At 36.7% G+C, this 22,052-nt stretch overlaps 1 non-coding gene across 1 annotated transcript, besides 3 other annotated features; it reads right to left on the bottom strand.

Moving 5' to 3' along the window:
* Positions 1-256: 256 nt before the first annotated feature.
* On the bottom strand, positions 257-443 carry LOC124900440 (small Cajal body-specific RNA 16). Its single transcript, XR_007067397.1, has one exon.
* Positions 5,453-5,502: an enhancer, noted in NCBI's record as "active region_1393". NCBI's record gives its function as "activates an Ori minimal core promoter by ATAC-STARR-seq in GM12878 lymphoblastoid cells {active_cell/tissue: GM12878}" and the evidence as "EXISTENCE:reporter gene assay evidence [ECO:0000049][PMID:35858748]".
* Positions 5,921-6,020: an enhancer, noted in NCBI's record as "active region_1392". NCBI's record gives its function as "activates an Ori minimal core promoter by ATAC-STARR-seq in GM12878 lymphoblastoid cells {active_cell/tissue: GM12878}" and the evidence as "EXISTENCE:reporter gene assay evidence [ECO:0000049][PMID:35858748]".
* Positions 10,816-10,865: a silencer, noted in NCBI's record as "silent region_1124". NCBI's record gives its function as "represses an Ori minimal core promoter by ATAC-STARR-seq in GM12878 lymphoblastoid cells {active_cell/tissue: GM12878}" and the evidence as "EXISTENCE:reporter gene assay evidence [ECO:0000049][PMID:35858748]".

Below are 22,052 nucleotides of genomic sequence, written 5' to 3'. Positions count from 1 at the left end.
ACACACACACACACACACACATACATACACACACACACACACGCCATTTTTATGTGTGTACAAATATACAGGGGATATACAAATTAATTTGGGTGGAAGTAGGGTAAAGGCAAAAGGAGCCTGACCAAAAACCCCATATAAACCAGAAATGCAGATCACAATTATGAATAATTCACTTCTTTATTATGGCAAAATATACATTACATACAATTTACCATTTTAACCATTTTATTTATTGTTTGTTTGTTTGTTTTTGTCCTGTTTGCAGTTTCATACATGATCATCAAACTGCTGCTAGGATGCACACACCTATTACTGCAAATTCACAACCTAGGAAAGACTTTTCCTGGGAATTTACTTTAGGTCAGGGTTGGGCTGCCTGGTACAAGGCTGCACCCACAACTGAGCAGGTTCAACAACACAGGAGCCTTTCCCAAGACCATCATTTTAACCACTTTTAAGTGTAAAATTCAGTAGGATTAAGTATGTCACATTTGTGTTCATGCATCACCACTATCCATCACTAGACAGTTCTCGTCTTCCCAAACTGAAACTCTACCCATTAAACAACTCCCCGTTACCGACACTCCCACCCCCTGGTAATTGCCATTCTATTTTTTGTTTCTATAAATGTGGTTATTCTAGGTACTTTATGTAAGTGAAATCATACAATATTTGTCCTTCTGTGTTTGATTTATTTCACTTAGCATACTGTCTTCACTATACCTGGTAAGGCTCTTTTGATTAGGGAAAATTTGCACAGAAAAAAATACTGAATTCTTTTCCAAAAATTTCCAAAAATACAGAACAATATATTTGTTCATTCATTCATTCATGCATTCAACAAGTATTTATTGAGCCCATATTGTGCCAGGCTCTTCTTCTAATAAGCCATTGGCAGGAGATAATAAAGGAATCATACTAATCTCCTTACTAGATCACAGTTATTCTTCAATCAACATAACTCAAATTATCTGTCTCAGATTACTAATGCCACCAGTGGCTCACTTCCTGGATCTTCTTACATTGGCATATCATCGGCTGAAGAGAACAGTGGCAGAGTATCAAAAGAATCAAGCCGGTTTCTATCATGATAACTCCTGTGCATGGAATTTTTGCTGCTGTCCCTTCTTTCCAGAAATACTGACACTCAGCTAGCACTAAAAATCACAGAGGGAGAACTGGCCTATATGTTATACCCTTGTTAATATCTGACTTAACCGCATGTTAATCTGCTTTATCCTGTACAGGTGCACTGGACATGAACCATGCTTCTTCCAGCCAAAATATCAAAAAATTCACAGAAAAATCTGAGTGTTCAGTTTTTCTTGAAAAGGTAGAAAATCTGGTATTCCTGGGCCCATGTTCTCATGTGTCGAGAAATGACTAGGGCCAAGGAATAGCTGTCTCCTGTAAACAAGGTTTTCACCACAGTTCTCATTACTTCATATATATATATATATGTGTGTGTGTGTGTGTGTGTGTGTGTGTGTGTGTATTTCATATATATAGTTCATATATATGCTTATATATATAAATACATATATACGCTTATATAAAAATACATATATACTTCATATATATACACATATGTGTATATATATGAATATATAATTTTAAACATCCAGTTCTATATATACATAACTGGATTTTCATTTGTCCATTCGCTCATGTTAAGTATCTACTATGATAAATCATTGTGTTAAGCATTATGGATTGTTAAACACTGTGACTGTACAATTAGCTCCAGGCACTTTGGGGGAAGAACAGAGCAGAAAACAGACATAGCTGACCTTGGTCAGAAAAACTACCCTGGCTGTAAGGTCATTCTTCCTTAACATAGTGGTAAGCAGTTCAGTCTGCAATATTAGGCAATATCTGGTTGAGCACTGATTTCTAAGGTGGGGTAGAAATACTAAGAGCAGAAAGATAGAATGTAATGATTCCTGCAAAATCCTCTCATATGGAATAGGCCTCCCAGATAAGGGCTATACAGTTTCAGTTTCTAGAGAGAGAAGGCTGGCAGGTAAAGATAGGAGAGCTCTGAAAAAATGAAGGAGTTGTTATTGGTGGTGGTGGTGGTGTTGAGGGGGGTATGGTAAGACACTCACTGGTGGGTCTGAAATCACTGCTGCAATTGCTTCCTTTGTCAGGATTAAGCCAAGGCACTGAGCAGGGCTGAGCCTGCAAACTGAAGTCCCTCAGTTCTACGCCTGAGCAAGGTAAGAAACTGGGTATAACTGATGCAGTAGACTTGTGTGTGAACTACTGTGTTATAGAGGAGAGAGTAGCCCCTGACCTGGGGGAGTCAAGAGGTTTTTCAGAAGTGGCATTTTACCCAGATCTTCAAAGAAAGTCCAAGTTTCACATATGGAAGTGGGGATAGACGAGCAACCATCTAACAAATGTATATTAAGTGTCAACTAAAAACAATATGCTAGGCATATAAAGATGAATAAATTAGAGATCTTACTTTCAAGCAGCATAAAGTCTAGTGGGGAGAAACATATTAAGCTCATTAGAATGAGTAGAAATTAATGAAATTAATGTTGAATGAAGTGGCAACATGAAAACAAGAGCAATGAATTCTTCTGGGAGGAGTAAGAGGAGGTTTTATAGAGAAGCGGAGTTTAAGGTGGGTGCTGACCGATATGGAGGAGTTCACCAGGCAGATTGTAAGAGCATTCCAAGCTGATGATAGCATATGACAGGGCATTGACCCTTGAAAATGATTTCAGAGAACTGGCAACGATTCATCACTGCTGAAGCTTAAGGTAAGAAATAGGACGCTACGGAGATAACGCTGCAGAAGGATAAGGGCTGAAGAACCTCTGTAAGTTGAAAAGAATGCCAAGTAGCCTGCAGTGACTGGAATGCAAGATGCATGGGGAAAAAAATGGTTATTGCTGAGGTTATGCAGATAGTATAGAACCGCTTAAAACCAACGTGTACTGTGGATCTGTTTTTAACTTTTTAACAGGTATAGTCCCCTCAAGAATAGATAATTCCTATGGATCCACTCCCCAGAAACCTATGGAGTATCTCAAATATCTTAACGCCCATACATTGCTCTCCTGGGAGTTCTCAGGTCTCAGCTAAGAACCGTTGCTTTACAGCAGTGCTTTTGGAGCTTTTATGTAGTGACCTAAATAAAAATAGTAATATTTGTATAATATGCTGGGTTACCGACAGAAGCTGCTTCAGGTCGGAGGCAATTAACTGGGGTTCTAGCTGCTTTCTCCCACCCAGGTGCCTCAGAGGCTAAAGTGATTAAATATCATGTCACTCTTGTAACCTATTTTGTTTTCACTCTTCTGAAGGTTCTTAAGAAGAAGAGTGAAACTATCAGTGCCACTTTTAAAAGGACGATTCCATCATCAATGTAAAGAGTAGACAGGAGGCAATCAGATGAGTTAGAAGCTTTCCTAGAAGTGACTTCAAAGGCTTGTCATGTGTCATTAGTGGTGAGGATAAAAAAGAGGGTATTCTAGAGCTTTTTAAGGCTAGAATCAAAAGATCTGATGACAGTGGTAGCTTCCAAATTTCTATATACTAGGAATTTAAGGGCTTCAGTTGGGTTAGAAAAAGGACTTTGGTTTATAGCAGCAAAATTCACAATTGCAAATACATGAAATCAGTCTAAAAGCCCATCAAATGAGTGGATAAAGAAAATGTGACACACACACACAAACACACACACACACACACACACACACACACACACACACCATGGAATGCTACTCAGCCATAAAAAGGAATGAAATAATGGCATTTGCAGCAACCTGGATGGAATTGGAGATCATCATTCTAAGTGAAGTAACTCACGATTGGAAAACCAAACACCAAACATCATATGTTCTCAATTATAAGTGGGAGCTAAGCTATGAGGATACAAAGATGTAAGAATGATATAATGGACTTTGGGGACTGAGGGGGAAGGGTGGGAGGGGATGAGGGATAAAAGAATACACATTGGGTACAGTGTACACTGCTCAAGTGATAGGTGTACTAAAATCTCAGAAATCACCACTAAAGAACTTTTCCATGCAACCAAACACCACCCGTTCCCCAAAAACTATGGAAATAAAAAAAGTTTTTTTAAAGAAAAGAAAAAGGACTTTGGGAATTTGGAGGACCATCAAATATGTTAATGTAGATTGTCCACTGCACAAGTGAAGTTTTATTGGTGTATGCAAAATAACTGTCAAAGTAATTTACCTGAAGAGGTGCTGTTTTAAAAACTCAAATGTAAGCATGAATCAGTGAAGACTTCTTTCAGCTTAGATGCTGCAGGAGGTTTTAGCCCAATAAAAGGTGACTTGATAAGCAATATTACTGTTTAAAGTGTTGCCACAAACTTAATGAAAAGTCTAATAAATAGATTTTCATCTCAGATATCTGATGTCTTGTATATTTTTATAAGCACTGGCTAATGAACATAGGGCTTTTTCTCCCCTCATCATCACATTTTAGTTTTATCTGATGAAAAAGGTGTGGTTCATGATCCACAATAACCACTAAGCTGCCTGAGAAGGAGCAGCACAGTGTGTGAAATTCTTTTAAGTATGCAGTAATGAGTATAAATCAAGTAGACTATGTCCAGTGCTCTTGTACCTGATCCTGTGAACATCAGTGATCTAATTAAAAATGTGTTCACCAAGTCCTTCTTCTGCATTATTTTTGTCAGCATGGAGGTGGCATAGACATAATTTTATTTTTTCTAAATAAAACTGTTGAGGGGATTTCCTTCCTGCTTCTTTCCCTCTTTAAACTCTCTGAAACAGACTTTTAAAGGTTTCTTTTTTTCATAAATGATTACATTAATACTCTGAATTTTAAACTGATTTTTTTCTCTCTCTCCTGGAATCAAACCATGATCAGATTTTCTTGAACTCTGGCAGTTGAGAATTCAGGTAATCCTCAAAGAAGCAGACTGCAGCTTAGGAAGGGGCGGCTGACCACACTGGTCTATGACCTGGGTGCTTTGCTGTTATCTGTTACAGACAGCTGCTCTGTTTCATACAAAGTTCATTTGAAGACTATGAAAAACATTGAAGTCAGATGCATGAGAAGGCAAAGCTGAGCGTGTCAACAAAGAGAATGAGCTTGATCTAGTGCATAGCTCACAGGGAGTTAAAAAACAAGGCAGGGAAATAGAGTGGTTTCAGAGAGATTCCCACCCCACTTTACAGCAGGAAGGAAGCCCAACCCTCAGAGACTCAGGGAGGAAAGCAACGCTAGATGGATTCTCCTGCATAAAGTGCCCCCACACAGAGTCATGTGAATTTGCATAGATGCACAATGCATGCAGCACTTCCTCCTCTTCTAAAACCTGTTGTGAAGATGTGTTTCTACACCAGGCTTACTGTGGCTATTCTTTATGTGATTCAAGAATCAGAGAAGGTTCCCCAAACAAAAAATAGTGTGACTTTGTGCTTCCCCAGCCAGATAGATATGCAAACAGTTGTAATCGCAGTCTCCAGAAGCCCAAGTCTTGTCAAAAAGGGGTTCTGAAAAATCTATAATCTTTAATATTAACATAATTGTTAACCCACCCCAGGATTTTTCAAATTTTTCAATATTATGCCATGGTAGAAAACAACTTTGTATTAAATGTATCAAAACTTCTAGTACTAAAATAATCTCATCCATGTCTCAGGATGCGATTCATTTCCATCAGAAACCCTTGAGATTGCTAATAAATATAAATTTCCCATACGGATTCCTTTAGAAGCAGTGGGATATTAGACCTACATTCATAAACAGTGAGGATGTAACTAAACATGATACAAACTGGACTGGGCACAGTGGCTCACACCTGTAATCCCAGCACTTTGTGAGGCTGAGGCATGCGGATCACGAGGTCAGGAGTTCGAGACAAGCCTGGCCAGCATAGTGAAACCTCATCTCTACTAAAAATACAAAAATTAGCCAGGTGTGGTGGCACGCGCCTGTAGTCCCAGCTACTCTGGAGGCTGAGGCAGGAGAATCGCTTGAACCTGGGAGGCGGTGGTTGCAGTGAGCTAAGACCATGCCATTGCACTCCAGCCTGGGTGAAAGAGGAAAAAAAAACAGATGACACAAATTGTCAGTGTATCATAACCAAATCATAATTTCATTGCAATGGAAACTCAAGCTTGATTTCCATCCCCGCCCCCCCCCATTTTCTGGCCCTGTTTACAGCATGGCCCAAAAGCAGATCAGACATTATAAACAGTAATACAAATAATGATTTGATTTTTTTGAAGGAGAGGTAAGATTTAATTTCCTTCAGTTGTGCATCTTTAAATTCTTCATATTAGAGCTTTATTTATTAAAATATTGAAAACAATATTAGAAATGTAATTTTTATTATGAAAATAAAGACCTAGAAGTATAGGATGCGATCTATACAATTCCAGTGGTACCTTTTCCCTGAGTAAAAATGTACATTTCACTCCAAAAATGAGTATTCTACTTTTGTTTTGATATAACAAATATGATAATAAATTAAACTTGATTAAAATTATGATACGTTAGGTAACTCCACAGTATATTACTGTGAAGAGGGTTAAGAAAAAGATGACCCAGAGGGAATCTGAAATCTTTTTGTTGTTGTTGTTGAGACAGAGTCTCGCTCTGTTACCTGGGCTGGAGTGCAGTGGTACAATCTCAGCTCACTGCAACCTCTGCCTCCTGGGTTCAAGCGATTCTCTTGCCTCAGCCTCCCGAGTAGCTGGGACTACAGGTGTGTGCCACTACACCCAGCTAAATTTTTGTATTTTTAGTAGAGACGGGGTTTCACCATGTTGGTTGGCCAGGATGGTCTCGATCTCCTGACCTCGTGATCTGCCCGCCTCGGCCTCCCAAAGTACTGGGATTACAGACGTGAGCCACCGCGCTGGGCCGGGAATCTGAAATCTTAATGTAGACTGGGATAATTCTAATATTTATAATTTACAAATAAGCTCAAAACTTCCATTTCAACCAACTTTGTCGATCTTCTTTCTCAATGTGGCCAAATCTATAGTTAAATATAAATACAAGTATATGTTAAACTTCAATAGAAACTTTAAAAACTAGGCTAATATGCATATTTTACCAGTATATTTGGGAAATAAGTTGTTTTGATTGAATGAATTGTCTAGTTTAGCAAGGATAAGAACACTCTTCTTTTGTTGTTTTGACCTACATAGTGAAAAACCTAGCTAAAATATATTCATTTACTATCTTCCCTTCATAGGAAGAATATGACAACCATAAATAAGAAAATTATCCTGGATCTTAAATTGCTGAGGCTTTTGCTTTTCTCATTCCTTAATTTATTCATTTATTCACATATTTACTGAGCACCTACTATGTGCCAGGCACTATTCTGATACAAGCTCTATTTAATATTATTATACATGCCATAGAAGACAATATAAACCATGGAGCTCAATGTGTAAAAATTCAAAGTTATACCTTGGAAACATCTCTTAAAAATCCTTTGTGGGCTGGGTATGGTGGGTCATGCCTGTAATCCCAGCATTTTTGCGAGGCTGAGTCAGGAAGATGGCTTGAGGCCAGGAGTTTGAGACCAGCCTGGGCAACATGGTGAGACCCCATCTCTACAAAAAATTTAAAAAGTAGCCAGGTGTGGTGGTACATGCCTGTAGTTCCAGCTACTCAGGAGACTGAGACAGGAGGTTTGCTTGAGCCTGGGAAGTCAAGGCTGCAGTGAGCTGTGTTTGTACCATTGTGCTCCAGCCTGGGCAACAGAGTGAGACCTTGTCTCAAAAAAAAAAAAATCCCATCAGCTTGTGTTTGGTGGTAATATGGCTATTTTGCCTTAAACTTTGCAATGTCTTTCCTCCGAATGCTCTTAAAACAAACTCTGTTTAATTGAAGATTCTGGTTAATTACAGTTTTGCTGCAGTGCAAGATAATTTTGTAAAGCAATTGCTACAACATTATTGGAATCAGAGATTATTTACTTCTGCATGACTGACAGAAATCCACTATGCAATCAGCAGTCTTTCTTCACCGTCTGCATGAAAAGGCCATCTTTGAATAGAAAAGACAGGCAGTGTGACATAGAAAGGGTACAGCTTCAGAAGTCAGACAAACCTGGCCATTTAACTGTGGGGTAAGTTCTTAAAGCTCTTTTAGCCTTAGTGCCCTTACCTGAAAAATGGAATAATGTCCAACCTTAAAGTTATTCTGATGATTTGAAAAGATAAATGTTGTTCATTCACTCTGCAAATATTCACCAACTGCTTTATCCTGAGGGTAATAGGCAATCACTGTAGGTCTTAAACAGGAGTAGTAACGTAATTGAACTTTGGAAATATCACCCTGGCTGCAGTATGGCGAATGAATGAGGGTGAGGTAAGATTGAAGGGAAACCAGTTAGGACCTGTTATTGTTAGGACCTGTTACAGTTAGGACCTGTTATTGCTCAGAGACAAGTGTAGCTTTCACGTAAAAGTAGAGGCAGTGAGGATGAAGAGAAGTAAATGGATTTGAGAAATTTTAAAAGTCACGTCAAGAGGAGAGGGTAAAAGGTTGGATGCGGATGGTAAGATGGAAGGTATAATGAATATCTCGGTTTCTTGCTTGGTTGTTTGTGGATGGTGGTGCCATAACTAGGAGAGGGAAAATAGGAAAAGGTCTTGTGGCAAAGATGACAAATTCTGTTCTACACAGGTTGTTTTTGAGGTGCTTGTGGGACCCCCCCACCCAAGAAGTACTATGCAACATGCAACCCATGACTAGAAATACAGGTCTGGAGATAACTCAGGGGAACATGACAGAGTAGAAGCTAAGCATTGGGGGCTATTACTGTGCAGACTTCCCAGTTGGTTAAGAACACCTCTGCTCCTTCCACTGGTCTGGGAACATCCCCAGCTCAGTGAACATGAGCAAGTTATTATAGTGTAGTATAAGCAATTCATTATTTGGAATTGTTTTGCAACTATTAGCACTACCTGAAAAACCTGTCTGCGTTCTGGCTCAGCCCCTTAGTTTTCTCAATGCTACTGAAAAAAGAGTCTCTCTATTGTCTCGTTTCTAGTAGTCTGTTTATTAGTTCTCCACTACAGTTTCTTAGAAGTTCAAATTTTTTGCAAATCACAACCACAATGAGATACCATCTCACACCAGTTAGAATGGTGATCATTAAAAAGTCAGGAAACAACAGGTGCTGGAGAGGATGTGGAGAAATAGGAACACTTTTACACTGTTGGTGGGACTGTAAACTAGTTCAACCATTGTGGAAGTCAGTGTGGCGATTCCTCAGGGATCTAGAACTAGAAGTACCATTTGACCCAGCAATCCCATTACTGGGTATATATCCAAAGGATTATAAAACATGCTACTATAAAGACACATGCACACGTATGTTTATTGTGGCACTATTCACAATAGTAAAGACTTGGAACCAACCCAAATGTCCATCAATGATAGACTGGATTAAGAAAATGTGGCACATATACACCATGGAATACTATGCAGCCGTAAAAAAGGATGAGTTCATGCCCTTTGTTGGGACATGGATGAAGCTGGAAACCATCATTCTGAGCAAACTATTGCAAGGACAAAAAACCAAATACCAAACTCCGCATGTTCTCACTCATAGGTGGGAATTGAACAAAGAGAACACATGGACACAAGAAGGGAAACATCACACACCGGGGCCTGTTGTGGGGTGGGGGGAGGGGGGAGGGATAGCATTAGGAGATATACTTAAAGTAAATGACGAGTTAATGGGTGCAGCACACCAGCATGGCACATGTATACATATGTAACAAACCTGCACGTTGTGCACATGTACCCTAAAACTTAAAGTATAATAAAAAAAAGTTCAAAATTTTTAATCTGTTTTCAGGATAGGATTAAAGTGTATGTTCTTCCTCATTTAGGTTTTTCCATACAGCTGTTGAGAGTAACATGTTGGAGTCAAAGTAATGAAGTATAGCTATACTTCATAACTGGGGTTGGGGGGGCGCATTTGAGTTAGAGAAGATACAATTAGCCCCAAGACGGAACACATCTAATGCATTCAGGACCTATGTGGAGTGATGCTCCAGTGAGGAGATGCTGAGATGACGCTGGGGAGGCAAGAGGGAAATGTGCAAAAACTCAGAGGTAAGAACATCACTTATTCAAGGAATTGAAGTTTCAGTAAATAAGAGGGTAAACGAGTGAGTCTGGTGTGTGGTATTTGTTGAGGGAGGTTGAGATCTTGGAGGGCCTTATAAGCCACATAAGGAAGAATGGACTTCATGACAGCAGCTGCAAATTATTGAAGAGTTTTACATGAGGGAGATTTGCAGTTTAGAAAAATCACTTTGCCACAAGGAGAATGAACTGGATGAGGCCAGAGTGGCTGCGGTCAGGAGGCTATTACAAAATTTCAGGTGAGATGCAATGGTGGCCTAATTTATGTTAGAGAGACAGGGAGAAAGAAAAGTGGATACACTCAAGAGATACTGAATAGGCATCATTTGCAGAGCGGTGAATATCTGGATGTGGGGAATGAAGGAGAAGAGAAAGGTAAAGCATCACTGTTATCCATGTTTTCGGGTGTGGGCGACATATGGTGTCAGGGTTCTACTCTGTCCCCTCCTTGATAATAATGGTCCCTGTGTCGTCTCACTTTTAGGGAAATAACACCAAGAGACGCAAACCTTGTTCAATGTAAGTTCCCTATTGCTTCTGCCAAAGTATAAAGCATAGATTCATAATTTTGTTAAAGTTATCAGAAAGTACATTCCTTTTAGCACAAACTGTAATATTCTATAAATTGAGTTACCATGTAGAGAAAAATACCTGTGATCGCCAATTCTGAGATTTGATTCTTGAAACCCTGAGCATTTTGAATTTCTCACACGCTGACCACTAGTATGAGCCACTCTTTCTGTTTAACAGGTATTTAAAAACGACTGTGGCTTACCACAGCCCTCAAAGGGTTTTTTTTCTATTATTACACCAAAGACTTTCCTCTGGTATGTTCAGAGCTACTTTTTAAAATGTAATATATTTTTTAATCCAGTTACCCTGAAGTGCTTGCTTTTAGTTTGTTAGTAATTCTGCTTCAGACAGGATGTACTTCATTTGAAAAGAAAAAGATAGTAAAGGAACATTCAAGAGTTTCTCTGAAACCATTTTAAGAAGCAATAAAGCTTCATTACTTTTTTCCTAAAAACACAGAATTGTTTTTAGTAAATACTATAAAGAAAATGTGCATAATTTTAAGAAAACAGTATTTTAGGATGTATTTGGTAATAACTGATTGTATTTGAAATTTTTTGTAGAGGAAGGAAAATAAGAGAATTGTATGTGAGTCTTTTGTTTGCCAATTTAGTTGTGGGAGACAGACAATGAAAATTCATTACAGTTAAATGTGCTGCTTATTTATCGTAGGAGGAATGATGATAGTGATGTTGAAAACAGAAAAAGGAAGTTTTTCTACAGCTTTACCTATGTATGTCATGCTTTCCAGTTTTTATTCAATTGTTTTTATAATGAAAATAGTATATGTTCCGTGCTCTCATTTAACTGATAGAAGTGGTTGATAGATAATAGATTAGCTGGGCCATTATTAATGTTTTTGTTACTTTAAGCACTTTTTTTGTGACTACTTTAAATGTGGCTTTGTTTTGTTTTTTCACTTTGGGAATACAAAGCAAAAACTTCAGCACATTTTACTTACACTGATAGCAAATATTTTGCTTTCAGAATCTTACTACATTTTATATTTAATGAGTTACACTGGAGTAGAAAATGTTACATTTGTTAAACATAACCCATAATTATCCCAAATTTTAAATATTAATACATCAAAGCTCTTTCTTTTTGTGGAAATGAAACCCTTCTAAGTGTACAGTGGATAGAACCAGGTTTACATCTATTATGTTACTTACATTTTCCATATCACTTGGCATTGTCTCCAGACAGTCTTACATGAGATAATTCCATGCGCCCTTAGAATATTTTTTATAAAGAAATACTGATACTCAAGATGATTTTCCTCATTTTAGCCCTAGCCTCTAGAGGATATGTTAAAGTGATTTATATTAATAACCATCCTTTTTTTAGATAGAAGACTTTATAACCTTTGATTTCTGTAATACACAAGGAGAGCCCTGCTATCTATCTACTTGTTAGGGAGACAACAGATGGGATTCTTTGCACTGAAAAGAAGGCTTAACTAGGTGACCTTTCCTAGGATTCATCAATAACAAGGAGATCATAAGGTCTTCATGTATTATTTTATTTATTCTTTTAACCTTCCTCTGCAGTAGAGGAGCAAGTACTTACTATATACTTAATCTCATCTTATAGCTAAAGAAAAGAGCTATAACTTCTTCCAAATCACCTAACTATTCCCTATAGATCTGGATCCTAAATCTTAGTTTTCTGACTTTCTTTTCTTACAGAATAACCATAGTAGCTTATAATCAGCTTCCTGCACACTTTTTTTTCTCAGTAATTATACTAGTTCTATAATATTCTGACAGAGGTATGAAGATGAGCTAATCTGACTTTAGATGACTCATCAAAGCAAGCCAATGGAAAAATGTAAAAAATAAATTTTAATCTTCAACTTAAAATCTGCTTGGTTAACCATGCAAGTAAAGGATTTAACACATTTATTTGGGATCACTGGTTTAAATCTTCATGACAGTTAACACCATATATTCTTTTGGTAAGACAACCTTACATTTTGAAGTTCCTTACCATGATGTAAAATTGAAACATGTAAAAATACGTTTCTAAGATCAAAAGAGTGATAGGGACATCAAAACGCATTGCAAGATAATGGTTCAATGTCATTTTGGCATATTTTTATAAATACAAACTATTTGAAAAACTGTAAGTTCTCTGTTATCTAATGTTTTATCTTTCAAAACTTACCATCATAATAACAAAGGAGCAGTGCTATTCTAAGTAGAACTTTATTTGTTAGGAGTTAGTTGTTTTTCTCTCCCAAGAGATATATCTAGAACAGGGTCTAGTACACAGCCAGGGCCCAGCAAATATTTGCTGGAGGAATAATAAAAGAATACATGAGTCTCAAGTTCTGGAGAGAAGTCTGGAATGCAAAATAGGTTTGAGGATCACAGCTAAAAAGAAGGATTCTTGACAAATGGAAGAAGAGTGTGTAGAATGAGAAGTACTCAAGAATGCATATAGATAAGAGATACGAACTTGGAAGAAGGATATATCACATCATCTGTAAGTAGAGTTCAATAAGGCAATTAGTACAAAAGAAATATATAAAAATCAGTGATTCTCAGACACAAAATTAGTTTGAAAATGTGAAATAAAATGTGTCATTGATAATAGCATACATATATAAAAAATTTCAGAAACATATTCAGGACTTACTGGAAAAAACTACAAATCTCCACTAAAAGACATAAAAGAAGATTTGGATAATGGAGAGCTAACCTCAAATTAGATGATAAATTTTGAAATCAAGGTTTCAATGGCCCATTACACATCTTATTAGAATAGCCAGAACCCAAACACTGACACCACCAATGCTGGCAAGAATGTGGAGTAACAGGAACTCTCATTCATACAAAATGGCACAGCCACTTTGGAAGACAGTTTGGCAATTTCTTACAAAATTAAACATACTCCTAACCATACAATCCAGCAATCGTGGTCCTCAAATGAATGAATTGAAAACTTATGTCCACACAAAAACCCACACACAAATATTTACAACAGCTTTATTAATAATTGCCAAGGCTTGCAAGCAACCAAGATGTCCTTCATTAGGTTAATAGATAAATAAATTGTGGTACATCCAGACCATGGAATATTTCAGTATTAAAAAGAAATGAGTGATCAAGGAAAGGAAATAGAGGAAACTTAAATGCATATTACCAAGTGAAAGAAGTCAGTCTGAAAAGATTCCTCAGTGTCTGATTCCAACTATGTGATATTCTAGAAAAGGCAAAACTGTGGAGACAGTAAAAAGATCAGTAGCTGCCAGGGATTCGAGGTCAGGGAGAAATGAATAGGCAGAGCACAGATAATTTTAGGGCTGTTAAACTGTTTCGTGTGATAAGACAATGCCGGATACATGTCATTTTACATTTGTCCAAATCCACAGAATGTACAGCACCAAAAGTGAGCCCTAACATAACATAAACAATAAATACCTGGTGATAATGATGTGTCAGTGTAGGTTCATTGATTGTAAGAAATGTGTCACTGTGGTGCTGGCTCTTGATAATGGAGGAAACCGTACATGTGCAGGGCAGGGGATATATAGGAAATCTCTGTACCTTCTGCTCAGTTTTGCTATGAACCTAAAGCTACTCTAAAAAATAAAGTCTGTGTAAAAAAAATAAAAAGCCTTAACAAGGAACTTGAATAAGAGATTATAATATTTATCTTGTATAATAAACATAGAAGAATTTCCAGGAAAATTCTGAAGAGGAAGAGTTCTGGGAGTGAAGAATTGATCAGGGAAACTGGCCCTACAAAATGTCAAAGTATGATATAAACCTACCTTGCATAAAATGGTATGGTGTTGGAATATGGTGTTGGAATAGGGAGAGGCAGATGGAACTCTGGGCTAGAAAAGAATGTCTAGAGAAAGATTCAAGTGAATATAAGAACATATAATATTATTAAAAGAGACATTTCAAATAAGTAGGTCAAAACAGGTTAATCATTTAGACAGTGGGGTGATAGAATAGTCAGCTGGTAAAAAAAAACAACTGAAAGCTCATTCCTACCTGATTTCTTCAACTAATTGTAAATGGACCAAGGATTCTTTATACAGTGTGATTAAATAGACATAACATAATACTTAGCATTTTAAGGTATACAGTTTACTGTGTTGTATAATCATCACAACCAGAAACTTTTCATCATCCCAAAGAGAAACTCCATACCGAATAAGCAGTCACTCCCCTCCCAACAGCCCCTGGCAATGACTTATCTGCTTTCTGTCTGTATGGATTTACCTACTCTGTATATGTCATATAAATGGAATCACATAATATGTGCCTTATATATTTTTGTATACATATTATACAAATGTATAAATGTATGTGTGTATACATGTGGGAAGAGGGAAAGCTAGCTAATGTTTTACGGAATAGTCACTGTATTCTTTGTATTGTTATAACAGAGACTCATCACTTGTGTGTTTTGTTTGCCTTTTTTCACTTAGCATAACGTTTTCAGTGTTCACCCATGTTACAGTACGTATCAGTACCTCATTCCTTTTTGTGGCTGAATAATATTCTTTTATACAAAGATACCGCATTTTGTTTATTGATCATCAGTTAATGAATCAAAGATCTTTCAAAATGCACTATTACAAGAACTAGAAAAAAAATTGAATATTTTTTATAATCGGAGTAGATAAGATCTTTGAGGCATGAAATTTACATCTGTGAAATAAAACATGTAAATGAGGCACATTCTATGAAAGGGTGGAGGGAAGTTATATTCTTCAAAAATATTAATGTTTTGAAAGACAAAATGGTAGAAAAGCTATAGATTACAAGAGACTAAAGAAACATGACAATTAAATACAATTTTATGACCTTAGGCTGGAATCTGTGCTGGAGAGGAAAAAGTGCTATAAAGAACATTATTGGATCAATTGACAAAACTGGAATACAGACCGAGTGCAGTGGCTCATGCCTGTAATCCCAGCCCTTTGAGAGGCCAAGGCAGGAGGATCTCTTGAGTCCAGGAGTTCAAGACTAACTAGGCAACGTAGTGAGACCTAGTCTTTACAAAATAAAAAAATTGGAATACAAATGGTAGATTAAAGTATTACATGAAGATCAAATTTACAGAAGCATATAACTGCCATGTTCGTGTAAGAGAACATCCCAATTTCTAAGAATATATGCATTCAAGAATATAAGGGCTAGAGGCTACTTACCTTCAAATAAAATTTATATATATATATAACATATAGAAAGAGAAAAGGAATGCTGCCAAGAGTTGTGCTAGATGCTTTACATATTTTATCTGATTTAATCCTCACAACAATCCTTTAAAGATTTATAAATGAAGAAGCTGAAGTAAAGTGAATATAAGTACCTTGCCCAAAGCCACATTTGATTATCTGACTCTAAAATCCATGCTCCTTTTCCTACAACAGCCAAATTGCGTCTCAATAAAATGTAGAAATAAAATATTTTAATAAAATATGTATCTTATAAGAAAATTTAATTCTAACACTAAGAAATATAGTATATTCAGATAAATACTATTTAATTTTAACTGTAATATACATGGAAAACTAATCTCTATTATGCAGTTCTTCCGTGGCTGCCCATGTTTCTGCTTGCATTTCACCACAGCTCTTTCCAGTAATCTGCCCTCCAGCCCAATGTATCAAATAAAGATCTAAAAGCAACATAAAATCACTTTTACATCAGTAAAGGGCTCTCAACTGGGGAGAAAAATAAATTATCCTACCTTGCATGTGTATGCAAAGATTACATATTTGGACTCCTCATTCTTCCATAAGAGCAAATTCAAGTTTCATTACTTTATTGTCAAGCTTCTGAACATTTACATAAATGATAGGTTTGTTATCACTTATTACTGGATTCAGGAGATTATATGCAAAATGTGCAAAGACCTGATTAAAAAGTCTTTGATCTTTTAATCAAAAGGGTAAGCAGTATTAATTCATTTGGCAAGTATAATATATATACCAATTGTAGCACTACTTTGCATTTGAGATTACCACAGTAAAATAATTACTCTTCATTAATGAAGGCTCGTTGCTATGTAATTCCACTGTGGCTCTAGGCAATAAAATCCTTTCTAAAGAATTAAGTTATATTTGGTGAGAAGTTATTTTGTAAAATAATCATATTCTTTATAAATAAAATAAATTTTACCATCATGGTGTTTGATTGTATAAAGCTCATAGACAGAAATGTCATTGAGAACTATATAATATAAAAATAGAATAACCTTTACATGGAATAACACATGAGCTTCAAATTCAAAGCCCCCTATATCTCTGTTAGTACTCATTTTGTGATGTCAAAAAAAAACCCTCTCAAATCCTTTTCTTGTCCCAATTTATAATGAAGATAGATACATACATAAATAATTATAACAAAAGCAGGATGCACATTAATGTTGTCACAAAAGAAGTGACAGGCTTATTATTCCTAGAAGGATCCTGGAAGACTTCATGAAAAAGGTATTATCTTAATTAATCTTTGACAAATGGGCAAGAAATCAGGAAGTAGAGGAGGAAGGGAAAGCGGAGAAATAGGATATAAAAGGCATAGAGTCCTGACTGCCAGTCTAAATGGTGAGTTTTTTTCTGCAATAAATAGGAAGCTATAGGATTTTGAGCAAAAAAAAAAAAAAAAATGTGATCACATGAAGATTACTCTCTGAGGGAAGCTAGGCATAGAGGCACATGCCTGTAATCCCAGCTATTCAAAAGGCTGAGGCGGGAGGATCATGCAAGCCCAGGAGTTTAAGACCAGCTTGGGCAACATGTTAAGACCCTTGTCTAAGCGTGCTGTGAAGGAGTCCTAAGATTAGGGGAAAACCATGGGATGGAAAATCAGTGAAGTTACTTGAATGATTGTTTGTCTATCTGTCCCCTCAGTGAATCATCATGGGCTTCTCCAGGCCAGGTGACATGTTTCCCACAACTTTATATCCCCCAAATCACACATATTTCACAAATACCACTGGATGCATAAATAAAAGAGAATAAGCTCTTGTATTATGCTAACAGTGGTGGAGAGGAAAAGAAATAAAAGAGAAATACTACTATTGAGGAGGTAGCATTGTAAAGAGATGTTAGCTGGTTGGATATAGCTGCTGAGGAAGACAAAGGAATAAAAATGCTGTGCAATTTATCACAATAAAACCAAACACCGCATATTCTCACTCATAGGTGGGAATTGAACAATGAGATCACATGGACACAGGAAGGGGAATATCACACTCTGGGGACTGTGGTGGGGTGGGGGGAGGGGGGAGGGATAGCATTGGGAGATATACCTAATGCTAGATGACGAGTTAGTGGGTGCAGCGCACCAGCATGGCACATGTATACATATGTAACTAACCTGCACAATGTGCACATGTACCCTAGAACTTAAAGTATAATAAAAAAAAAAAAAGAAAAAAAAAATTTATGGAGCACTTACTTTGTGCCAGAAGTTTGGTAGGTGCTAAATATCAAAAGATGAATTAATATCTGACCCTATCAAACAGCTAGGGGTGTCACAGAGTGGATAGAACAAAACCAAGAGATAGGTGGCAAAACTGGATACACTCAGGGACATGGAATGTGAAACAGCTGATTTCCAGATTTTTGGCTTGAACTACTAGGCTGAGAGTGGTGCCACCAAATGAAGACCCAATTTGGGAAATGCAGAGCCTGAAGCGTCTGTGGCACACCCAAGGGAACATTTCTAATAGAGAAATTCATGCTCATGACTTAGGGAAAATTTTAATGCTCATTTTCAAGTTACATACATCAAAGGATAGTGATACTATTAACTAAATATATAATACAGTTTAGAGATATGCAACAGTTTAGAATGAAAATTATAACTTGGGGTTTTGTTTGTTGAGTGTGATTAGCTAGTGGAATAACCACGCAGAGATGTGCATAAAGAATTTAGAAGTATAGTACTATGCAGCCTTTTAAAGAATTAGGTGTCTTCATATGCGTTGATTAGGAAAGATATTCATGATTTTCTTTAAAGGAAAAAATAAGTTGTAAAACAATGTTTAGTATGACCCAACTTTTGTAACAAAATATACATGTATATACATATATGTAAATACAAATATATAAATGTATGTGTGTATACATATAGGAAGAAGGAAAGATAGCTAATTTTGTACTGGATAGTTTACTGTACTCTTTATATTGTTACAACAGACATTCATTACTTTTGTGTGTTTTTTTCTTGATAACAATGGTATTTATTTTTATTTTTATTTATTTTATTTTTTTAAATTATACTTTAAGTTCCAGGGCACATGTGCACAATGTGTTGGTTGGTTACATATGTATACATGTGCCATGTTGGTGTGCTACACCCATTAACTTGTCATTTACATTAGTTATTTCTCTTAATGCTATCCCTCCCCACCCCCCACCCCACAACAGGCCCTGGTGTGTGATGTTCCCTGCCCTGTGTCCAAGTGTTCTCATTGTTCAATTCCCACCTATGAGTGAGAACATGCGGTGTTTGGTTTTCTGTTCTTGCAATAGTTTGCTCAAAATGATGGTTTCCAGCTTCATCCATGTCCCTACAAAGGACATGAACTCATCCTTTTTAGGGCTGCATAGTATTCCATGGTGTATATGTGCCACATTTTCTTAATCCAGTCCATCACTGATGGACATTTGGGTTGGTTCCAAGTCTTTGCTATTGTGAATAGTGCCACAATAAACATACGTGTGCATGTGTCTTTATAGTAGCATGATTTATAATTCTTTGGGTATATACCCAGTAATGGTATCCCTAGGTCAAATGGTATTTCTAGTTCTAGATCCTTGAGGAATCGCTACACTGTCTTCCACAATGGTTGAACTAGTTTACACTCCCACCAACAGTGCAAAAGTGTTCCTATTTCTCTACATCCTCTCCAGCACCTGTTGTTTCCTGACTTTTTATGATTGCCATTCTAACTTGTGTGAGATGATATCTCATTGTGGTTGTGATTTGCATTTCTCTGATGACCAGTGATGATGAGCATTTGTTCATGTGTCTGGTGGCTGCATAAATGTCTTCTTTTGAGAAGTGTCTGTTCATATCCTTCGCCCACTTTTTGATGGGGTTATTTGATTTTTTTTTCTTGTAAATTTGTTTAAGTTCTTTGTAGATTCTGGATATTAGCCCTTTGTCAGATGGGTAGGTTGCAAAAATTTTCTCCCATTCTGTAGGTTGGCTGTTCACTCTGATGGTAGTTTCTTTTGCTGTGCAGAAGGTCTTTAGTTTAATTAGATCCCATTTGTCAATTTTGGCTTTTGTTGCCATTGCTTTTGGTGTTTTAGTCATGAAGTCCTTGCCCATGCCTATGTCCTGAATGGTATTGCCAAGGTTTTCTTCTAGGGTTTTTATGGTTTTAGGTCTGACATTGAAGTCTTTAATCCATCTCAAATTAATTTTTGTATAAGGTGTAAGGAAGGGATGCAATTTCAGCTTTCTACATATAGCTAACCAGTTTTCCCAGCACCGTTTATTAAATAGGGAATCCTTTCCCCATTTCTTGTTTTTGTCAGGTTTGTCAAAGATCAGATAGTTGTAGATGTGTGGTGTTATTTCTGAGGCCTCTGTTCTGTTCCATTGGTCTATAGCTCTGCTTTGGTACCAGTACCATGCTGTTTTGGTTACTCTAGCCTTTTAGTATAGTTTGAAGTCAGGTAGCATGAAGCCTCCAGCTTTGTTCTTTTTGCTTAGGATTGTCTTGGCAATGTGAGCTCTTTTTTGGTTCCATATGAACTTTAAAGTAGTTTTTTTCCAATTCTGTGAAGAAAGTCATTGGTAAATACATATATGTATGAATATATGATATACATATATGTAAATACAAATATATAAATGTATGTGTGTATACATATGGGAAGAAGGAAAGACAGCTAATTTGTTACTGGATAGTTCACTGTACTCTTTGTATTGTTACAACAGACATTCATTACTTTTGTGTTTTTAAGTTCATTTTAGCATTTAAAAAAAAAAGCTGTGGAAGAAAATAAGTGAGAGAGGAAAGAAAAGGTCCAAAGACATTCAGCACAAATCTAAGAGTTAGAGTGGAAAAGAGGACTGAAAGATATTTGCGAGTTAACAACAGTAAAGAGAAGAGTGCATAGATAGTTGGTGTTGAAGACTTTAAAAAAGACTGATAAAATGATTACCTGAAAGTGGCCAATGAGGTTGGGAGATGGGCAAGCTTTGATTAAGCAGTTTGTTGAGAGCAGGGCCAGATTGCATTTGCTGAAGCATGAAATTAAAATGAGGCCACAGAAGCAGCAGTGCAGTTAGTTACCAAGGAAAGAGTTTGAGGCAAAGGGAAACAGAGCACACTTGTAATCTAAGTCTGGAGAGCTAGTGTTCTGATAAAGATTAAAAATGCAGAAGGAAAAGGGTGTAACTGTGCTGCTTCATCAGATATATTTAAATTTATTTTAAAAAGGAATCAATACTGTATGCACATTTATATTTGATTTCAAAAACAAATGTGCTTTTGCCAACAGTTACATTTGATTACAAAGAATTACATTTGGGGGCTCTTACAACTAATTTTTAATTCCCAACTTTGCCATTTTCAGACAAAAACAGGAACCGGAAAGAAGTGGCTGGGCAGGCTGTCTGTGGTGTGACGCACGCTGCTGGCCCAGACAGCTGTAGTAGATGTTGTCTTGGTTCTCATGAAATGCAGTCTTCTAACGTTGGATCAAACACCCTTGATTGTTCAAAGTGACCGAAAGTGTTAGAATAAACCACAACAACTAAATCCGTTGGCAGTAGTGTAACTCCACCCAAAGGTGGGTTCTAACATACTACAAGTGAACACTATAGTTACATGTATTGTACACCTCTTTGGTACAGAAGTTAGACTATTTTTATGCAAGTTGTTTGCACACACACACACAAGAGAAAAATGTGTCATTTTAACATATATCTGATTATGCATTTAGGGATAATGCAAGACAATGTTTAGTTGTTAAACAGTTTCCTTCCTCATTATCCATCAGAAACATATCAACAGTGGCATGTGGTTAGAAAATGTTTGTTAACATTAAATTGTGATTGTTAACATTAGCCTAAAAAGGGCAAAACTATGGGATATCCTTCCTAGGAGAGATGGCAGAGCAGGAAGGCAGAAAATACATTGTAAACCTGCACGTGACTTTAGATTATCTGTGAAACTACATTTAGATTATTTGTCATTATACATAATGCTAGCAGAAGGCTGACTATATTTAACACAAAGTTACCCTATCAAAATACCTTCCCAAAATAGATCAACCTTACTTTGCCATGTTGAATTACAAGACTATAGAAATTACAAGCTGTTGCCATAGCCCTTTTGGTATTCAT

Source organism: Homo sapiens, chromosome 1 (assembly GCF_000001405.40).
Source record: "Homo sapiens chromosome 1, GRCh38.p14 Primary Assembly".
Classification (NCBI taxonomy): domain Eukaryota; kingdom Metazoa; phylum Chordata; class Mammalia; order Primates; family Hominidae; genus Homo; species Homo sapiens.
This window is presented reverse-complemented; position numbering and strand designations above follow the sequence as displayed.